Below are 20,174 nucleotides of genomic sequence, written 5' to 3' on the forward strand. Positions count from 1 at the left end.
ATGGAGAAACCCTGTCTCCACTAAAAATACAAAAATAAGCTGGGCATGGTGGTGTGTGCCTGTAGTCATTCACAGCTACTAGAGAGGCTGAGGTGGGAGGGTTGCTTGAGCCGAGGAGATAAAGGCTACAGTGAGCCAAGATCACACCGCTGCACTCCAGCCCGGGTGACAGAGTGTGAACCCTTTTTTTTAAAAAAAAAAATAGATTTTAGAAGAGCATATGAAATGGTATAAGATACTTTATTAGAGGAAGAACAGGGTATGCCGTCCCTATCCCTACTTCTGAACCTTTACTGTTTTCTGTGTGGAGTGCCTTGCACTTGTCCCTTCATATCAAATTTACAAATCCTTTATGGCTTGTCTCATTGTTTTAACAAGACTTCTGAAATGATTGCAGCTAATATTGTTGTTTGTTGTAGCTGAACAGTGGTGGATGTATATAGTACACATCAGTGGTCTCTAAAGTGGGTGTGCAGGGCAATACATTGGAAGAAGAAATGTATTTAATGTTTGTCACTTCACTTCTGACCTACATGCTATTATTACGTCTTTTTTTTTTATAAAAATCCAGTTCATATAGAATTAGACACATGATTTTAAAGTTATTATTATTGTTATTATTTTTCCTCTTCCATCTCATTGTTTCCTTTGGGTGTCATTTTCTCTTTTCCTGATGAATATCTGTGGAAGTTCTTTTGGTGCAGGATTGTTAGTGATGAACTTTTTTAGATCTGAAGACATATTTTGCCCTAATTCTTAAACGATAGCTTTGCTTAGTCTGTAACTCTAGGTTGATAGTTTGATTTCTTTCACCACTCAGAAGGTAGTATTCCATTGTCTATTGATATACATTGTTTCTGTTCAGGAGTCATCTGCTATTTGGTGTGTGATCCTTTCTGTCTGTCTCTATCTTGTGTGGATTCATATGTCTCATCAGTTATGGGAATGTACCAACCATTATGTCTTTGAATGTTACCTTACCTCTGTTCTGCATAGTATTTCTGGCACTCTGGTTAGATGTGCGAAAATTTATCATTCTATCCTTCATGTTTAACCTGTCATTTATTTTTTTCCTCCTATTTCACTGTTTATCTGTACTCCAATCTGTAGTATAACCTATACTATAGTTACCATATATGTTTAGATCTTTCTTCAGCTGTATATAACCCTGTTAACCTATCTGTTGAATTTTTTTTCATTGTGGTAAAAAGCACACATCAGATACACCCTTTTAACAAATTTTTAAGTGTGCAGTACAGTATTTTTGGTGGGGAGGGAGTAGATTTTAGTGGTGGTAAGGTGGCAATTTTATTTTTTTATTTTTTCACGTCTTATTTTTTATTTAATTTTATGATATGTATTAGATCTATTAGTGCATATTTTGGGGGTATATGTGTTAATTTGATACATTCATATAATCAAATTAAGGCAATTGGGATATCTATCACTTTACATATTGATCTTTTCATTATACTAGCAACATTAAAATTATTCTAGCTATTTTGAAATGTACAATTGATTAGTTAACTATAGTCACCTCAGTGATCTATTGAACACGAGGTCTTTTTCCTTCTAAGTGTATGTTTATACTCATTAATCAATCTCTCTTCATCCTCCCCTTCCTACTAACCCTTTCTAGCCTTTGTTAACCACCAATCTACTCTCTATCTTCATGAGATCGCTTTTTTAACTCCCACATATGAGTGAGAACATATTTGTCTCTCTGTACTTGGCTTATTTCACTTAACATAATGACCTCCAATTTCATCCATAGGCACAATATTGTACAGCACATCTCTAGAAATTTTTCATCTTGTGTGACTGAAACAGTGTACATATTGAACAGCAACTCCCTATTTCCCTTTCTTTCCAGACCCTGGCAACCACCATTCTTATTTTCTGCTTTGATGAGTTTGACTACTTTAGATACCTCACAAAAATGGGATCATGTAACATTTATCCTCTGTAACTGGCTTATTTCATTTTAGCACAATGCTCTTAAGGTTCATCCATGTTATAGCATATGACAGGATTTCTGTCTTTTTTATAGCTGAATAATATTCCATTGTATTATGTACCTTGTTTTGTTTATCTGTTTATCTGCGGGTGGACATTTGGGTTGCTTCTACTTCTTGGCTCTTATAAATAATACCTCAGTAAATATGGGAGTGCAAAGATCTCTTCAAGATCCTGATTTTAGTTTTTTGGATAAATACCCAGAAATGGTCGTATGTTAGTTCTATTGTTGGGTCATATGGTAGTTCTACTGGGTCAAATGGTAAGTCTATTTTTAATTTTTTGAGGAGACTTCATATTGTTTTTCATAGCAGCTGCAGCATTTTACATTTCCACCAACAGTGCACAAGGGTTGCAATTTCTCTACATCCTCACCAATGTTTATTTTCTGTTTTTATTTTGTTTTATGGTTTTTAAAATTATAGCTATCCTAACAGTTGTAAAGTAAATATCTTACTGTGGTTTTGATTTGCATTTCCCAGATGATTTGTGATGTTCACCGTCTTTTTATGTACCTGCTGGCCATTTGTATGTCTTCTTTAGAGAAATGTCTATTCAACTCCTTTGCACATTTAAAAATCAAGTTTTTTTAAATCAAGTTTGCATATAGTTTTGCTCATACTGTAGTGTGCTTTTTCACTCTGTTGTTTTCTTTGATGTGCAGAAGCTTTTTAGTTTGATTTAGTCCTGATTGTCTATTTTTGCTTTTGTTGGCTGTGCTTTTGATATCATATACAAGAAATCTTTGTCAAGACCAATATCATGAAGCTCTTCTCCTATGTTTTCTTCTAGGGATTTTATAATTCAAGTCTTAAATTTAAATCTTTAATCCCTTTTGAGATAGTTTTTGTGTATGATATAAAATGAGGGTCCAGTGTCATTCTTTTGCATATATATATCCATTTTCCCAGCACCATTTGTTGAAAAGACTGTCCTTTACCCATTGTGAATTTTTGGCATCCATGTTGAAAATCATTTGACTGTGTATGCATGGGTTCATTTCTGAGCTCTCTATTCTGTTCTTAGTGTATATCTCTGTCTTTAAGCTATTACTATACTATTTTGATTACCATAGCTTTGTAATATGTTTTGAAGCCAGTAAGTGTGAGGCTTCTAACTTTGTTCTTTCTGAAGATTGTTTAGGCCATTCAGGGTCCTTTGTGGTTCCATATGAATTTTATACTTTTTTTTTGTTTCTGTAAAAAATGCCATTAGGTTAGTTCTTTGTTAGTGCATAGAAATGTAACTGACTTTTGTATGTTGATTTTGTAGCCTGAAACTGTTGAATTTGTTTATTATTTCTAGCAGTTCTTTTTTTGGTATTTGGAATCCTTAGGGTTTTCGGCATATAAGATAATCTCGTCTACAAACAGTGATAATTTTGCTTCTTTCTGATTTGGATACCTTTTATTTATTTATTTTTTTCTTGTCTAACTGCTCTGCCTAGGACTTCTAATACTATGTTAAATAGAAGTGGCAAGAATGGGCATCCTTGTCTTGTTCTTGGTCTTAAAGGGAAACCTTTGTTTTCTACCACTGAGTGTTATTTATATTAGTTGTGGGCTTTTTTTTTTTTCCCACACAATACATTTTATTTTATAAACTACTGTGTACATTTTATACAATTATGACTATTTTCCATGCCTTAAGTTTCTAACCTTATCATTTGCAATGGCTACATTAGAGTGGGTGAACTAGCATTTATTTAACCAGTCCTCTCTCTCTTTTTTTTTTTTGAGATGGAGTCTTATTCTTTCACCCAAGCTGGAGTGCAGTGGCGCAATCTCAGCTCACTGCAACCTCCACCTCCTGGGTTCAAGCGATTCTCCTGCCTCAGCCTCCCAAGTAGCTGAGATTATAGGCACACGCCAGTAGCTGGGATTACAGGTGCACACCACCATGGCCGGCTAATTTTTGTACTTTTAGTAGAAACAGGTTTCGCCATGTTGGCCAGGTTGGTCTCAAGCTCCTGACCTTGGGTGATCTACCTGCCTCAGCCTGCCAAAGTGCTGGGATTACAGGCGTGAGCCACTGTGCCCGGCCCCAGTCCTCTCTTGTTAGATATTGAAGGTTTTTCCATTTCTTTACTGTAAATAACCTTGATGAGTATCTCCATAGATAAGTCTCTAAGTGTATCTATTGTTATTTTTTTTTTTCAGTTTTTAAGTTCAGGGGTACATGTACAGGATTTGCACATTTGTTACATAGGTAAACATGTGGCATAGTTTGTTGCACAGATCATCCTATCACCTAGTTTTTTTTTTTTTTAATTTAAGTTTTAGGGTACATGTGCACAATGTGCAGGTTGGTTACATATGTATACATGTGCCATGCTGGTGTGCTGCACCCATTAACTCTTCATTTAGCATTAGGTATATCTCCTAATGCTATCCCTCCCCCCTCCCCCCACCCCACAACAGTCCCCAGAGTGTGATGTTCCCCTTCCTGTGTCCATGTGTTCTCATTGTTCAATTCCCACCTATGAGTGAGAACATGCGGTGTTTGGTTTTTTGTTCTTGCAATAGTTTACTGAGAATGATGATTTCCAGTTCATCCATGTCCCTACAAAGGACATGAACTCATCATTTTTTATGGCTGCATAGTATTCCATGGTGTATATGTGCCACATTTTCTTACTCCAGTCTATCATTGTTGGACATTTGGGTTGGTTCCAAGTCTTTGCTGTTGTGAATAGTGCCGCAATAAACATACGTGTGCATGTGTCTTTATAGCAGCATATTTATAGTCCTTTGGGTATATACCCAGTAATGGGATGGCTGGGTCAAATGGTATTTCTAGTTCTAGATCCCTGAGGAATCGCCACACTGACTTCCACAATGGTTGAACTAGTTTACAGTCCCACCAACAGTGTAAAAGTGTTCCTATTTCTCCACATCCTCTCCAGCACCTGTTGTTTCCTGACTTTTTAATGATTGCCATTCTAACTGGTGTGAGATGGTATCTCACTGTGGTTTTGATTTGCATTTCTCTGATGGTCAGTGATGATGAGCATTTTTTCATGTGTCTTTTGGCTGCATAAATGTCTTCTTTTGAGAAGTGTCTGTTCATGTCCTTTGCCCACTTTTTGATGGGGTTGTTTGTTTTTTTCTTGTAAATTTGTTTGAGTTCATTGAAGATTCTGGATATTAGCCTTTTGTCAGATGAGTAGGTTGTGAAAATTTTGTAGGTTACCTGTTTACTCTGATGGTAGTTTCTTTTGCTGTGCAGAAGCTCTTTAGTTTAATTAGATCCTGTTTGTCAATTTTGGCTTTTGTTGCCATTGCTTTTGGTGTTTTAGACATGAAGTCCTTGCCCATGCCTATGTCCTGAATGGTAATGCCTAGGTTTTCTTCTAGGGTTTTTATGGTTTTAGGTCTAACGTTTAAGTCTTTAATCCATCTTGAATTCATTTTAGTATAAGGTGTAAGGAAGGGATCCAGTTTCAGCTTTCTACATATGGCTAGCCAGTTTTCCCAGCACCATTTATTAAATAGGGAATCCTTTCCCCATTGCTTGTTTTTCTCAGGTTTGTCAAAGATCAGATAGTTGTAGATATGCAGCATTATTTCTGAGGGCTCTGTTCTGTTGCATTGATCTATATCTCTATTTTGGTACCAGTACCATGCTGTTTTGGTTACTGTAGCCTTGTAGTATAGTTTGAAGTCAGGTAGCCTCCAGCTTTGTTCTTTTGGCTTAGGATTGACTTGGCGATGTGGGCTCTTTTTTGGTTCCATATGAACTTTAAAGTAGTTTTTTCCAATTCTGTGAAGAAAGTCATTGGTAGCTTGATGGGGATGGCATTGACTCTATAAATTACCTTGGGCAGTATGGCCATTTTCACGATATTGATTCTTCCTACCCATGAGCATGGAATGTTCTTCCATTTGTTTGTATCTTCTTTTATTTCCTTGAGCAGTGGTTTGTAGTTCTTGAAGAGGTCCTTCACGTCCCTTGTAAGTTGGATTCCTAGGTATTTTATTCTCTTTGAAGCAATTGTGAATGGGAGTTCACTCATGATTTGGCTCTCTGTTTGTCTGTTATTGGTGTATAAGAATGCTTGTGATTTTTGTACATTGATTTTGTATCCTGAGACTTTGCTGAAGTTGCTTATCAGCTTAAGGAGATTTTGGGCTGAGACAATGGGGTTTTCTAGATATACAATCATGTCATCTGCAAACACGGACAATTTGACTTCCTCTTTTCCTAATTGAATACCCTTTATTTCCTTCTCCTGCCTAATTGCCTTGGCCAGAACTTCCAACACTATGTTGAATAGGAGTGGTGAGAGAGGGCATCCCTGTCTTGTGCCAGTTTTCAAAGGGAATGCTTCCAGTTTTTGCCCATTCAGTATGATATTGGCTGTGGGTTTGTCATAGATAGCTCTTATTATTTTGAGATATGTCCCATCAATACCTAATTTATTGAGAGTTTTTAGTATGAAGTGTTGTTGAATTTTGTCAAAGGCCTTTTCTGCATCTATTGAGATAATCATGTGGTTTTTGTCTTTGGTTCTGTTTATATGCTGGATTACATTGATTGATTTGCATATATTGAACCAGCCTTGCATCCCAGGGATGAAGCCCACTTGATCATGGTGGATAAGCTTTTTGATGTGCTGCTGGATTTGGTTTGCCAGTATTCTATTGAGGATTTTTGCATCAATGTTCTTTTTATATACGGTCTTTTTTATGTTGATGTAATTTTTTTCCATTCTTATTTTGTTGAGTGGTGTTTTTAATCATGAAAGGGTACTGAATTGTGTCAGTGCTTTTTCTGCATCTATTGAGATGATCAGGCAATTTTAATTTTCCTTCTATGAATGTGGTATATATCACATTGATTTTTGTATGTTGTGCCATCCTCGTATCCTAGGGATAATTGCCTCTTGGGCGTGGTACGTGATCCTTCTAATGTGCCGTTGAAATTGAATTGCTAGGTTTTTTTTTTTCCTGAGAATTTTTATATTGATATGCATTAGGGATATTGACTTGTAGTTTTTTTTTCCTGTAGTGACTTTTTCTGGTTTTTTATCATGGTAATGCTGGCTTTATAAAATGAGTTAAGAAGTATTCTCTTCTCTTCTTTTTGGGGGAGAGTTTGAAAAGGGTTGGTTTTAATTCTTCTTTAAATGTTTAGTATAATTCACTAGTGAAGCCATCTGGTCTTGGGCTTATCGTTGTTGGAAGGTTTTTGATTCCTGATTCAATCTCCTTACTAGTTATAGCTTTGTTTAGATGTTCTATTTTTTCATAACTTAGTTTTTGTAGGTTTATTAGGGTTCTCCAGAGAAACAAATCCAATAGGCTGTATATAGATATATGAGAAGATTTATTATGGGAACTGGTCCATGTGATTATGGAGGCCATGAAGTGTCACAGTATTTCATCTGAAAGTGGGAGAACCAGGAAAACCAGTGATATAATTTAGTCTGTGTCTGAAAGCCCAAGAACCAGTAGCTCTAATGCCTGCAAGCAGGATAAGATGGATATCCCAGCTGAAGAAGAGAGAAATAAATTTTCCGTTTTTTTTCTTTATATTCCAATCGGGCTCTCTCAATGGATTGAATGATGCTTGCCCACATTGATGAAGGTATATGCTTTGTTCAGTTGCTGATCAAAATGCTAACCTCTTCTGGAAAAACTCTCTTGGATATACCCCAAAATAATATTTTGCCAGCTATCTGAGCATTCCTCAGCCCAGTCAAATTGACATATAAAATTAACTATCACGGTAAGTTATATGTTTCTAGGAATTTATACATTTCTTCTATGTTATCTGATTTGTTGGAATATGATTATTCATGGTAGTATCTTATATCGTTTTTATTTCTGTGGCATCAGTTGTATTATTTCCTCTTTCATTTCTGATTTTATTTGAGTCCTATCTTTTTTTCTTAGTCAAAGGTTTGTCAAATTTGTTGATCTTTTCAAAAAACCAAGTCTTTTGTTGATTTTTTTCTGTTGTTTTTGTATTCACTAATTTGTTATTTCTGCTCTAATCTTTTTTATTTCCTTTCTTCTGCTAAATTTTGACTTAGTTTGCTCTTCTTTCTCTAGTCCTTGGGGTGTTGAGTTAGATTATTTATTTGAAGTCTCTCTCTTTTTTTTTTTGTTTGAGATAGAGTCTTGCTCTGTCATCCAGGCTGGAGAGCTGTGGTGCAATCTCAGCTCACTGCAGCCTCTGCTTCCTCGGTTCAAGTGATTCTCTGCCTCAGCCTCCTGAGTAGCTGGAATTACAGGTGCCTGCCACCATACCTGGCTAATTTTTGTATTTTTAGAAGAGACGGGGTTTCACCATGTTGGCCAGGCTGGTCTAAAACTCCCAACCTCAAGTGATCTGCCCACCTTGGCCTCCCAAAGTGCTGGGATGACAGGCAAGAGCCACCACACCCAGCCTCTTATTCTTTAACGTAGGTGTTTTTTTAATGAAATCACGATAAACTTCCCTCTTAGTACTGCTTTTGCTGCATCCCATAAGTTTTGCTGTTGTATTTTTGTTATCTGTCCTGGAGAATGTTCTGTGTGTGCTTGAGAAGAATTTATATTGTGCTGCTATTGGGTGGAATGCTCTGTATGTCTACGTGTCCGTTAGGTCAATTTGTTCTATAGTGTTCTTCAGGTCCTCTGTTTCCTTGTTGATCTTCTGTCTAGTTATTCTATCATTATCGAATGTAGGGTATTGAAATCTTTTATTGTTGTGTCGCCGTCTATTCCTGCCTTCAGTTCTGTCATGTTTGCTTCTGTTCTGATGTTGGGTACATATGTATTTATAATTGTTATAGCTTCCTCATGAATTGATGCTTTTATCACTACGTAATATTCTTCTTTGTCTGTTGTGACAGTTTTTGACATAAGGTCTGTTTTATCTGATGTAAGTTTGGCTACCTCTGCTCTCTTTTGGTTATTTCATCCTTTAATTTTTAGCCTGTGGGTGTCCTTAAATCTAAAGTGAATCTCTTGTACACAACATATAGTTGGATGTTATATTTTTAATCCATTCAACAATTCTGTCTTTTGATTACAGTGTTTAATCCATCTTCATTTGGTGCAATTAGTGATAGGGAAGGACTTACTATTGCCATTTTGTTAACTATTTTCCGTCTTGTAGGTTTTTGTCCCTCTTATCCTCTCTTGCTGTATTCCTATGTGTTTCATTGATTTTTTTGTAGTGACCTCTAGTGTAAGCTGGGTTCTATCAGCATCTAAAACCAGTCCCTCTGGCAGTCCCCTAAAAATCAGAGCATTGGATCCGTGCTCCACTCTTTTTCCCCATCTGTTGAATTTTTAATTTCATTTATCATATTTTTAATTTCTAAGTTTTAAGATTTTTCTCTTAAGCTTGTCTGCCTTTTTAAGTAGATTCTTGGACTTTGCTTATTTTATGATTTCATCTTCATTTCCTTGAACATTTAATATATAGTAATTTGCATCCTTGCAATTTAATATATAGTAATTTGTTTCTGGTAATTCCATTATCTGAAGTCCCTAGGAGGTTAGATTTATTGTTGATATCTGCTAATTCTCATTCACTATGGTTGTTTCTTATTGAATTGCTGGTATTTGATGGTGTCATTCACTATGGTTGTTTCTTATTGAATGTGCTGGTATTTGATGGTGAACTCCTCTTTGCCTGATTGTTATTTGTGTGAAACTTGGGGGCCTAAATTGAGGATGCTTCCTTCAGAAAGGGATTGGGTTGCTTCTGCTGGGAACCCCTACTGACGTGGGGCACTTTAGTCTCCTGTAGGGATTCCTGGGAGTTGTAGGTTCAGCTCTCTCACCCTGTAGTGAGTCCAAGACTTAGTATTTGACTCCAGGGTAACTAAGGCTTTTGTGGTTAACTTTTAGCTGTTGTTTGTTGATTTGTTTTTTTATGTTTGTTTACTTGTTTTTGTTTTGCCCTTGGAGGTCTCTCTTACTCTCTTATAGTTCAGTAATTCATTTAAAAAATAGATACTATTTTGGAGTACCCCTTATGATATCATGCCTACTGCACTGTAGAAATTCTGGAATAAGTTTTTTGTAAATGGGTCTTCAGAAATTTACATACTTATGGGATTTCCATACTTATGTTCCATACTTATGTAAATTTCCATACTTATGTTCCTAAACCATGTATCATTTCTGAAATTCTCGTATCTGTATACTTTAAAATGTGCATAATTTTCTGTTTATAAATCTTTCATTTGAAAATTTACTAGATTTTTGAAATCATTTGTTACAATTGTTAGAATGATTAATTTTCAAGAATGGCTCAGGCAAAGTGGAAATCTAACAGAACTTTTGCATAATTGATGAATAGATCGAACTATGAGCATCATAATTAAATAAATGCAAGCAGTTGTCCACTGCTTCCATTTATGTGAGATGCTCTCATTAGCCATGACAGTCATTGAAATTAAGTAGCAACATAAACTGGACTTATAATCAGTCTTTCAGTTCTTTATCACAAATTGTTAAGCCAACATTTACAAAACTCAAGAAACATTCATTTGTATTGTATAACATTAATAATATTTTGCTAATCACTGAAAAGTTTGTACCATTAGAATTCAATATATTTCCAAAAATTTTTATACTATACTTTTTAATATGCATAATCTATTTATAAAGTAATTCATATGTAATTTATTAGCATTTCTATGGGAATGCATACTTACACATTTTGAAGCTAAAAATACCTTGGACTGTAGTTTAGAGGCCATTCTATGCCACAGAGTTTAGCGTTGTTCTCTAATTCTTCTGCGTATAAACTTCTGCTTTCTAGCTAAATTGAAAATATTTTGAGGCCATGGACCACTTTCAACATTATTTCTGTATATCCTTTATTACCTAGCATAGTGTTTGGCATATTTTTTGGTACTCAACAATTTAATAAACCAAGGTCTATTTTATTTATTTATTCTCAAATACAGTGAGTTTATGAACTACCTGAGGAGATTGTTTCAAATTTGCATTTCTTAACTCCTGCTCCCTCCCAATCTTTGTTCTTGCTCAGTTTTTCTAGGGTGGGGTCTAGGAATTTCTCCAAACCCTTAGGGAATTCTTACACAGATAGGTTTTGGAAAACACTGATTTATGTGATGATGATGATTACATTGTAATTAACCTCATATTATGATGAAAATGAAAAGACAATTATAGTTGATGGCTATATTTTAGAAAGTAGGATGGAAAAAATGATAAGTCAATCCTTTTGTAGGTGATGACAACAGTAGAAAATATCAGGGAATTTTCTGTAAGTAGTAAGGTACATGCATGTGGTTGTTATAGGTGTGAGATAGAAGAAAGGGTTTAAAGAGGAATTTCATGTTCTTCCCTTCCCTTTCCTCAAATTTATGTGGTTAACAATAAAGTGGGAAGGGAGATGGCAACCGAAAAAGGAGTTTACCATATGGTGCCTGCTGTGGTGTGAATGTGCCTCCCAAAAGTTTGTGTGTTGGAAACTTAATACCCAATGCAACAGTGGTGGGAGATGGGGCCTAATAAGAGATGATTGGGTCATAAGGTCAGAGCCCTCACGAATGGCTTAATGTTTTCTCAGTAGCAGGTTAGTTATCTCGATAGTGGGTTGTTATAAAGCAAGCCCTGCCCATAGTGCTTTTCTCTTTTGCACACTTGCTTACCCTTCTGCCCTTCTGCCTTTCCACCATGGGATGACGCAGGCTGAAGGCCGTCACGAGATGCCAGCCCCTTGATATTGGACTTCCCAGCCTACAGAATCATGAGCTAAATAAATTTTTGTTCATTATAAATTACTCAGTCTGCCGTATTCTGTTATAGCAACGGAAAAGAGATTAAGACAGTGCCTTTAGTTTTAGGCTGAATCTTTCTCCTGAGAAAGTGTTATTTAATACTGTTTTGACCACTGTATCAGGTTAGTCCAGGTGGTAAACAAATTAGAAGCTGAGCCACAGTACCAAATTATAGTTAACTACCTGTAAAGTATATGGTGACAGGTTTAACAAGACTACCTTTCCTTTTGGGATCAGCAATGCTGCTTTCACAATTTGAAAAGAGGGTTTGCTTTTATTTCCTTTTCTATTCGCTTCATCACAATTGAAGATGATAAGGATACAAAGACAAATGAAACCTGTTCCCTGCTCTGGAGTGACTCAGAGCCTGAAGTGGGAGACAGACATAGAGACAAACAAGTATAGTAGAAAGTTGCAGTTCCTTGTCATCCAGCTGATTAGAACACAGAGTAAAGAAGGAAGGAGAGGCGGGCCAGGTGCTCAAGAAAGCCTTTGAAATGAGGCTTGAAAGATAAGTACTCCTTCACCAAGTGGCTCTGTGGAAAGTTGAGTTGGTGGGAAGACGAGGGCATTCGGGGTGGAAGGTGCATTTGCACAAAGTCCCTGAGTGTGAAGTGGAGAAGAGGAGAACATCACCCTGAAGAGGGCAGCATTTAGTGAGAGGGCCTGGCTTGAGATTAGGCAGGGCCTTACATGCCATAGCAAGAACCAGTCCTGGAGGCCGCAGAAGCTCTTGGAGGATTTAGATGGAGGGTCAACTTGATGAGATCTGTATTAAATATTTTCTGTGTGCCTGCATGCTTTAGAAACACTCTAGTTTTTAAATTCAGTGGGCTGCTTTCTCATGGTTTTTTTTTTTTTTTTTTTTTTTGAGATAGGTTCTTGCTCAGGCTAGAGTGCAGTAGCGTGATCACAGCTCACTGCAGTCTTGGCCTTCCGGGTTCAATCAATCCATCCGCCTCAGCCTCCTGAGTAGCTGGGACTATAGGTGCTCACTGCCATGCCTGGCTAATTTTTGTATTTTTTCGTAGAAATGGGAGTTTCGACATGTTGCCCAGGCTGGTTTCGAACTCTTGGGCTCAAGCGAGCCACCCTATCTCTGTCTCCCAAATTGCTGAAATTACAGGCATGAGCCACCACACCCAGCCTGAAAGCGCTTTTAATACAGTATTTATATACACTTTATCTGGCATATGAGAGAAAGGTTTGGTAAAGGGGAGACGCCAGTGCTAGTGACAAAGACTCTTGACAAACTTTAATTAGGCTGCTCAGAGTCCTGTTCTCTACTAGGCCTTGACCTTGGCCCTCTATTTCCTTCCTTCCCTTACTGGGCCTGCACAACTCCGAATTAGCAAAGAATCTTGCTAAGTCAGTTTGGTGAGATATCACCCTTGATATCTGACCACCCCTGAGAGCTGATTGAGTTCTTCACCCCCCATCTTTGATGTCTGAGTCCTTGGCCTGTCATTTGCAAGAACCACCTTACCCTTGATGTCTTCTTTAGTACTTTTCCATCTATTGACCCTCTCACTCTGCTCCTTGCCTGTAAATCCCTAGCCATCTTTGCAATATTCAGAGTTGAGCCTGTCTCTCTTCCCTATGGTAATACCCCTATTACAATAGTCTTGAGTAAAGTTTTCCTTATAGTTTTAACAAACATCAGAATAATTTTTTATTTAACACCAGTTAAGAAAAGATTCACATTTCATAATGAAACCCCACACATTTTTCACTGTGGTGGTATGTATTGCGAGTATGGTTACAGATGTCCATGGTAACCATAAAACAATCACTTAGTATACTAGAAAGTAGAGTTTCTCTAGATTTAGGGCAGAAGAATAGGATGATAAAAAGGGGCAAGGAGAAGGATTTAGCAAATACTAGGATTGGTATATCGTTGTCCTTTAATGGTGATTGGTCTTTGTGATTTTAATCAGTGATGAATATAGTTGAACTAAAGGGAAAGATTATTTAGCTACTGCTCTGTTCTGGGTTAGATTTATCTTTCTATTACCACCTCTTCAGTTTCTTAAGGAGGGATATTATTGCTTTGTAAAGATAGTGTCCAGCCTGCTTTTAGAAATGAAAAGCAACTAATTGGCTGGGTGCAGTGGCTCACGCCTGTAATCCTGGCACTTTGGGAGGCTGAGGCAGGTGGATCGCCTGAGTTCAGGAGTTCCAGACCAGCCTGGGCAACAACGGTGAAACCCTGTCTCTACCAATACAAAAAATTAGCTGGGCATGGCGGCGTGCGCCTGTAGTCCCAGCTACTCGGGAGGCTGAGGCAGGAGAATCGCTTGAACCCTGGAGGTGGAGGCTGCAGTGAGCCAAGATCGCACCAGTGCACTCCAGCCTGGGCAACAGAGTGAGACTCCGTCTCCAAAAAAAAAAAAAAAGAAAAAAGAAAAGAAAAGAAAAGCAACTATAGGAATAGAAAGCAAAAAGCTATGGATAAGCTAGTTTATCTTGGATCAAATCACTAACCTTTCTTTCTTATGGCTCTTACTGGTACATCTCATTTTGGTACCTACTTACCTGTAAACTGTCTTGGGTACTTTTTTCTGCAGAAATTATTTATTAACTGAATAGCACTACTAAATCATGCCATTGATCCTTCTGGCCACTCTAGATTCTTTCTGTATTGCCTAAATACCAAGAACTAAAAGGAAATAAAGTATTTACTAGTAGCCACTGTTTAAACCAGTGGAATTGGCTTACTAGTGAATTGTTAACTACCAGTGCCCAAATAACATCCTACGGAAGAAAGTCTTGAATAGAAAAGGTTGGAACCAGGTTGGTTGATCACTTCCACCTTTCCCTTCTACCTTCCTCTCCAGGAGGGGAGAAAAACAAGGAGAGGTAAGAGTATGGTCACTGAGGAGACTCTACTCCCCTTTTTGCCAGAATTGAGTATTTATCAGTTGCTAATTCTGCTTTGTATGTACTTTGTGACAGTAGTGTCAAACTGTACTGTGATTTTCTTTTTTTTTTGAGGTGGAGTCTCACTCTGCCACCCAGGCTGGAGTGCAGTGGTGCGATCTCAGCTCACTGCAAGCTCCACCTCCTGGGTTCACACCATTCTCCTGCCTCAGCCCCCCAAGTAGCTGGGACTACAGGTGCCCGCCACCACACCCGGCTACATTTTTTTGTATTTTTAGTAGAGACAGTGTTTCACCGTGTTGGCCAGGATGGTCTGGATCTCCTGACCTCGTGATCTGCCTGCCTCAGCCTCCCAAAGTGCTGGGATTACAGGCGCGAGCCACCGCGCACAACCTCTGTACTGTGATTTTCTTAAGCCTGTCACACACATAATGCTGCAAACTCCTTGAGACCAAGAACACTATTACTGACTCCTGTATCAAGCAAACAGTGATACCTGCACTTTGCAGAATTGCTTACCTTGCTGGATTAAAAACAGCAAGAGTATGTCAACAAAATACATTCCTCTTCCTACAATACTTTAGCACAGTGCTGTGCACATAGCAGCAACTCATTGGATGTTTAGTAAATGTATACAGTTAAGATTCATTCATTCCCTGGAAATAGTGGAGTACTTTAAGAATATGAGGTGATGCTATGTAGATACAGTATTTGCTGGTTAAATTCTGGTCATTTTTTGGTGAACATCTGAAGTATATCGGAGAGAGGTTCCTCTATGTTCATGATCAAAAGTTAAAGTTATCATAAAATTTCAATGTACTTCAAAAAATTAATTTAAGTTGATATGATTATTAGCTTATATTAGGAAATAATTACTGGATTTTGTTAGATTTACTAAATATAACTGAAATGAAGGTTGTAGAATAAGCTCTGACTACTATAGTATTAAATTAAATCAAATGTAATGATTTAGAGAACAAACATCGGGTTGGGCACGGTGGCTCACACCTGTAATCCCAGCACTTCGGGAGGCTGAGACTGGCGGATCACATGAGGTCAGGGGTTTGAGACCAATCCGGCCAACATGGCGAAACTCCATCTCTACTGAAAATACAAAAATTAGCAGGCGTGGTGGTGGGCACCTGTAGTCCCAGCTACTTGGGAGGCTGAGGCAGGAGAATTGCTTGAACCTGGGAGGCAGAGACTGTGGTGAGCCGGAGGCTGCGGTGAGCCGAGATTGTGCCACTGCACTCCAGCCTGGGTGGACAGTAAGACTCCCATCTCAGAAAAAAAATATAATAATAATAATTAATAAATAAAGAACAAACACCTATTGTAATTTCTGGCATGAGTTTGCTGTAACGTTTTTGTTCTTGTGAGAGTGAAAGAACTAGGAAGTTTGGAAAAGAATTTAACACGGTATTTTTAGATAATTTAGGTAAGTGTTTTCTTTTATTACCAGCTTGTAATAAATCCTGGCAAGTGGTAGTGAAAGCCCTCCCAAAGTAGCTTCTTGGGGTGTAGGGGAGTATCTTAGGGAGAAGTGCCTCTAAAAATACAGGCTCAGCCACTCCCTGTTCGCCTCCTCTGTCTCAGCCCTCAGGCTGTGCTTGTGTGGGGAATAGGGGTAATTGCCCTTTGTATACCACAATTCAGATGTAGAGGCAGTGTAATTTCTTGGTTAAGAGCACAAGCTTTGAAGCTCAAGTCCTTGGGTTCAAATCCTAGCTCTAGCATTTATTAGATGTGACCTTGGGAAGCCACTTAACTTCCTTATACCTCAGTTTCTTTACATGTAAAATGGAACAAAAGTGTCTACCTTATTCAGTTGTTGTTTTGTTTAACTAACTGAACACATATAGCGCCCTTAGAACAGTACCTGACACCTAGCAGAAGTGCTAGCTGCTGATGCTGCTGTTATTATTCCATTTAATTAAAGCTTGAAAGAAGTAAATTTGCCAGTTTTAAGTGCATCTCAGGGTTCCTGAATTACATGGTTTTCATTTTTTAAATTTCTGTATTTTACATCATGGATTTATTCCTTTTTATACCAAGAAAAAGTATTACATTTACAACATGAGGTCTTTCTGTTTTACTAGAATTTTTGTAGTAAGTGTAAGAGGGCCACTGTGAAGCTGAATTATCTGCAGGCGGCTTGGTAAGCAGGGAATTAGAGCAGAGTACAGAAGAGGAGAGTTGTTTAGTGACATAGATGTCCTCAGTGGGAATGGACGTATTTGTGGTGTTACATAATGTTTAAGAGCACAAACTTTGTAGACAGGACATTCCTGGGGTTTATCCCGAGCTCAGCCTTTTACAAGGTGTATTACATTGGGCATGTCTCCTTATCTGTAAAACAAAGATAATACACACCTGGTTGGATGGTTGTTGGGTTTTCATTGGTAGGCTTATATAATATACTTTTGTAATAATAGATGTTCAGTAATGGTATCAAAGAAGCAAGGAATCAAACCAAAATGATGAGAAAGTTCACAGTTGTTGATCAGGATGTATTTCTCTTACCCCACAGTCGTGATACAACTAAATTCATGTTCTTTGGGCTTGCCTTTTCTCCATGCTTACCAGTTTCTTCATTTTAATGCATTCATTCTTGAGACTGAGTACAAATATACTTGAAATGATTACAGCTTTAAACATGCTAATGGAATCTCTCTCTTGAGACTGCATTGATTTTACTGAACCCAAATATAAAGGCAAGTCTTAAGTCAGGGATTTACAGCTTGAAGATAATTTTCATAATGTCATTGTGTATGCTGGAATATAGTATTCTTCTGTTGTCTTTTCTGAATCATAATGCTTATATTTTTGCCCCTTAGAAATGATAGATAATAGTTTGATGAGCTAGAAGCAGAGTTAGGAGAAGCTCTTTTTTTTTCTTGAGACAAGGTCTTGCTCCGTTGCCTAAGCTCGAGTGCAGTGATGGGAACATGGCTCACTGCAGTCTAAACCTCCCATGTTCAAGTGCTCCTCCCACCTCAGTCCCTCAAGTAGCTGGGACTACAGGCGTGCGCCACCACACCCCGCTAATTTTTGTATTTTTTGTAGAGACAGAGTTTTGCCATGTTCCCCAGGCTGGTATCAAACTCCTGGGGCTCAAGCAATCTGCATGCCTTGGCCTCCCAAAGTGTCAGGATTACAGATGAGAGCTGAGGAGTTCTTCTAATTCTGTTTGTCCTGTGTCCCTTTAAGGAAAGATATTTTCATCTTTCTTAAAGTAATGCTTGGTATTTTTTTATTCAAAGGAATTAACTTCACCTTGGTCAGGTTTACATAATAGTGACTTAAATTAGAAATACAATCTCATGTTCAATTACCTTTTAGAAGTAAGAACGTTGCCATTTAATTTATCACATTGGAGTTCAGTCAGGGAAGCAGAATTCTGTTAAGTGATACAGAATAAAGCTTTTACTAAGGGATTATACTTACACAATTGTGGAAGCTGGTTAAGCATTCTGTGTATAGTTGCTGCTTCAGAGTCTGGTATTAAGAGGCTGAAATCCTCAGGGCCAGCAGTCAGGAGGGAAAGATGAATGTGACATGGGGGAGTAAAACAAATTAGAACCTGCGAGGACAAACTGGAACTCGTGTCTCTCACTGCCTTCTGTCTTCTAAGATGGGTGACCTGGAGGATAAGCTGGTGCCCTTCATTGGAGAGTTGCCCAGGCATCTGGACCAGAATTCAGAGCAGCTGAAGCAAGTGGTCCAGCGGGAGCTGAAGGAGCTCCATGAGACATGCCAGCAACATCAGCTATGTCAAGCGTGAGTGCTGCTGTGTCTGGCCCTGCACTGACCTTCAGAGCATATAAATGGTTACTGTTTTCATTTCTGCCTTCTTAATCTTGTGCAAATTTCTCTTGTGGCTGATGTTAGCCTAGGACCATAGAGAGAAGGGAATTCTGGGAAACGGAGTTCCAGTTTAGCTAAGTTAACACATTGGAAGTCATTAAAACCCACTCCTTGTCAGCTTGGCCATCATTTTAAGTATGAGATTTAGCCACACTTCTCTTAACCATACTTAAGATAAAGATAATAGCAGAATTAATCTTTAGCCTAACATGATACAAAAGTCTCTTTATCTATCTTTAGGTGATGCTCATTTCTCTTCTCAGTCTCTCCTTATTCCCTGCAACTTCAGTATTAACATAAAGAGTTAGCTAATGTTAACACTTTGATGTTGAATGATGGAGAAATGGGAAGGGGAATCAAAAAGAAAAAAAAGAATTGGTTAATATATATGCAAGTGTATTTACAGCAAAATAAGGAAAAAATATTTATAAGTATTACAGGGCTTGTTTCTGTAACTGGTCATGTGGTTGTAGGTGGTATTTATAATTACCTCCTTCAACTACTGATTCCATATTTCCTTTGCTCTCGGCAAACACTTCAGCTGAGTTTTGTTCTTTGCCTGGTGAAGTAACCCAAGCCTTCATTCCTGAGGAGTCTGGGCCATCAGAAGTCTTGCCTGCACTGGGTTATTGCAGTTTTCCATTGCCTTATCCCATAGGACATGGGAGTAAGAAGAGGTGCCCCAGAGGATCCCCTGCATTTCAGATATAGTCCGTCTTACAGACATTATGTAATAGCAACCTAATTTTCCCTTGATAGTCAGGATCAGTCACCCCAGCCAGTATGGTAACCTCTTTTTTTGCCTATTGATTCACTGCCATGAAGCAGTCTCAACTTGCCATTTAATGGACCATTACTATGACATCTGGTGGAAGCATTTTCTCCCTAGGCACTAAGACTTCTAGACCAGCAGAACCCAAAGTTGTAGGGACTAGAAAAAAATTTTTTTACTAATGGATCACTAAGGATAATAGTGAGAACAGCTATTCCCATTTCTATTTATTGATTCCTGAACCTGTGAAATCTGGTTACAGGAGAAATAGCACCATATCTTAGTCACAAATTTGGAGTACATATTGCATCCTGGAATATATTACCCCAGCTCTGCAAGGTGTCGTTACCCAGCTGGCATCAAAACAATCTTCAAAAGATTGTTTTATCAAGACAGCTGCTTCAGAGTATTGGGGGAATATAGTGAGACTGGTGATTTCTCAAAGCATGAGCCTGCTTTCATTCTTTATTTGCTATAAAATGAGTTCGTTGCCTAGAAGCAATGCTATGTGGAATACCATGATGCTAAAGAAATACTATAATGGTGAAAATGTATTCTGTAAGTCCACCAGTGAAGGTTTTGTCATAGCATTGTGGACAGAGAAGACAAATACATGTCTGTAGCAAGTATCTGTTCCAATGAGAATAGACAAAACACCTTCCCTTCTATTATGAAAGTAGTCTAAAATAATCAACCTGTCACTGGGTGACTGGGTAACCTTCTCTTACCCACCTGCCCACTCCACCCCCTGCCGCCTGCCACCCCCAGGAGTGGTGCTATTTTGGGAGCTCAGTGTTGTTCTATGAAGCTGACAGATTAGCCTTAGTGAATGTTCATCTATGTTGCTGGGCCCATGCATAACCTTCATCCCTGCCATCATGGCTA

The 20,174-nt window shown here is 38.1% G+C and overlaps 1 protein-coding gene across 10 annotated transcripts in view; it reads left to right on the top strand.

The window, feature by feature from the left end:
• MARK1 (microtubule affinity regulating kinase 1) overlaps positions 1-20,174 on the top strand; it is a 136,326-nt gene that overhangs the window by 4,686 nt on the left and 111,466 nt on the right. Inside the window, exon 1 of one of the 10 annotated variants that reach the window (XM_011509561.4) lies at positions 17,744-18,430. The exons of 8 other annotated variants lie outside the window; for them this stretch is intronic. In XM_011509561.4, the coding sequence (XP_011507863.1) occupies positions 18,404-18,430 (27 nt within the window). In that variant the 5' untranslated portion in view covers positions 17,744-18,403. Of the gene's footprint in view, positions 1-17,743; positions 18,431-20,174 lie in introns of those variants that run through there. One more of the 10 variants, XM_047420844.1, reaches the window with a different exon arrangement.

The sequence above is a fragment of the Homo sapiens genome, chromosome 1, assembly GCF_000001405.40.
Source record: "Homo sapiens chromosome 1, GRCh38.p14 Primary Assembly".
NCBI classification, from domain to species: domain Eukaryota; kingdom Metazoa; phylum Chordata; class Mammalia; order Primates; family Hominidae; genus Homo; species Homo sapiens.